Source organism: Homo sapiens, chromosome 8, assembly GCF_000001405.40.
Source record: "Homo sapiens chromosome 8, GRCh38.p14 Primary Assembly".
Classification (NCBI taxonomy): domain Eukaryota; kingdom Metazoa; phylum Chordata; class Mammalia; order Primates; family Hominidae; genus Homo; species Homo sapiens.
Window position 1 is genome coordinate 55,049,791 of NC_000008.11, and position 2,547 is coordinate 55,052,337.

Below are 2,547 nucleotides of genomic sequence, written 5' to 3' on the forward strand. Positions count from 1 at the left end.
AAGACAACCTACAGAATGGGAGAACATATTTGCAAACACTCATCTGACAGGGAATTAATATCCAGAATGTGAAAGAAACATAAATATCTTAACAACAATAACAATGGTGGCAGCCAAGATGGCCGAATAGGAACAGCTCTGGTCTACAGCTCCCAGTGTGAGCAACGCAGAAGATGGGTGATTTCTGCATTTCCATCTGAGGTACTGGGTTCATCTCACTAGGGAGTGCCAGACAGTGGGCGCAGGACAGTGGGTGCGGCACACTGTGCGTGAGCTGAAGCAGGGCGAGGCATTGCCTCACTCGGGAAGTGCAAGGAGTCAGGGAGTTCCCTTTCCTACTCAAAGAAAGGGGTGACAGACGACGGGCTTAAAAAATGGCGCACCAGGAGATTATATCCCGCACATGACTTGGAGGGTCCTATGCTCATGGAGTCTCACTGATTGCTAGCACAGCAGTCTGAGATCAAACTGCAAGGCAGCAGCAAGGCTGGGGGAGGGGTGCCCGCCATTGCCCAGGCTTGCTTAGGTAAACAAAGCAGCTGGGAAGCTCAAACTGGGTGGATCCCACCACAGCTCAAGGAGGCCTGCCTGCCTCTGTAGGCTCCACCTCTGGGGGCAGGGCACAGACAAACAAAAAGACAGCAGTAACCTCTGCAGACTTAAATGTCCCTCTCTGACAGCTTTGAAGAGACCAGTGGTTCTCCTAGCACGCAGCTGGAGATCTGAGAACGGGCAGACTGCCTCCTCAAGTGGGTCCCTGACCCCTGACCCCCAAGCAGCCTAACTGGGAGCCACACCCCAGTAGGGGCAGACTGACACCTCACAGGGCCGGGTACTCCTCTGAGACAGAACTTCCAGAGGAACAATCAGACAGCAGCATTCACGGTTCACAAAAATCCACTGTTATGCAGCCACGGCACTGATACCCAGGAAAACAGGGTCTGGAGTGGACCTCTAGCAAACTCCAACAGACCTGCAGCTGAGGGTCCTGTCTGTTAGAAGGAAAACTAACAAACAGAAAGCACATCCACACCAAAAACCCATCTGTACATCACCATCATCAAAGACCAAAAGTAGATAAAACCACAAAGATGGGGAAAAAACAGAGCAGAAAAAATGGAAACTCTAAAAAGCACAGTGCCTCTCCTCCTCCAAAGGAATGCAGCTCCTCACCAGCAATGGAACAAAGCTGGACGGAGAATGACTTTGACTAGTTGAGAGAAGAAGGCTTCAGACGATCAAACTACTCTGAGCTACAGGAGGAAATTTAAACCAAAGGCAAAGAAGTTAAAAACTTTGAAAAAAATTTAGACGAAGGTATAACTAGAATAACCAATACAGAGAAGTGCTTAAAGGAGCGGATGAAGCTGAAAGCCAAGGCTCGAGAACTACGTGAAGAATGCAGAAGCCTCAGGAGCCAATGCGATCAACTGGAAGAAAGGGTATCAGTGACGGAAGATGAAATGAATGAAATGAAACGAGAAGGGACGTTTAGAGAAAAAATAAATAAAAAGAAATGAACAAAGCCTCCAAGAAATATGGGACTATGTGAAAAGACCAAATCTACATCTGATTGGTGTACCTGAAAGCGATGGGGAGAATGGAACCAAGTTGGAAAACACTCTGCAGGATATTATCCAGGAGAACTTCCCCAATCTAGCAAGGCAGGCCAACATTCAGATTCAGGAAATACAGAGAATGCCACAAAGATACTCCTCAAGAAGAGCAACTCCAAGACACATAATTGTCAGATTCACCAAAGTTGAAATGAAGGAAAAAATGTTAAGGGCAGCCAGAGAGAAAGGCCGGGTTACCCACAAAGGGAAGCCCATCAGACTAACAGCAGATCTCTCGGCAGAAACTCTATAAGCCAGAAGAGAGTAGGGGCCAATATTCAACATTCTTAAAGAAAAGAATTTTCAACCCAGAATTTCATATCCAGCCAAACTAAGCTTCACAAGTGAAGGAGAAATAGAATACTTTACAGAGAAGCATATGCTGAGAGATTTTGTCACCACCAGGCCTGCCCTAAAAGAGCTCCTGAAGGAAGCATTAAACATGGAAAGGAACAACTGGTACCAGCCACTGCAAAATCATGCCAAAATGTACAGACCATCAAGACTAGGAAGAAACTGCATCAACTAACGAGCAAAATCACCAGCTAACATCATAATGACAGGATCAAATTCACACATAACAATATTAACTTTAAATGTAAATGGACTAAATGCTCCAATTAAAAGACACAGACTGGCAAATTGGATAAAGAGTCAAGACCCATCAGTGTGCTGTATTCAGGAAACCCATCTCATGTGCAGAAACATACATAGGCTCAAAATGAAAGGATGGAGGAAGATCTACCAAGCAAATGGAAGACAAAAAAAGGCAGGGGTTGCAATCCTGGTCTCTGATAAAACAGACTTTAAACCAACAAAGATCAAAAGAGACAAAGAAGGCCATTACATAATGGTAAAGGGATCAATTCAACAAGAAGAGCTAACTATCCTAAATATATATGCACCCAATACAGGAGCACCCAGATTCATA

The 2,547-nt window shown here is 45.3% G+C and overlaps 1 annotated feature.

Annotated features, from left to right (window-relative positions):
• Positions 509-1,008: an enhancer, noted in NCBI's record as "H3K4me1 hESC enhancer chr8:55962859-55963358 (GRCh37/hg19 assembly coordinates)". NCBI's record gives its function as "activates a minimal SCP1, AML or CMV promoter by ChIP-STARR-seq in naive H9 embryonic stem cells {active_cell/tissue: H9 hESC(naive)}" and the evidence as "EXISTENCE:reporter gene assay evidence [ECO:0000049][PMID:30033119]".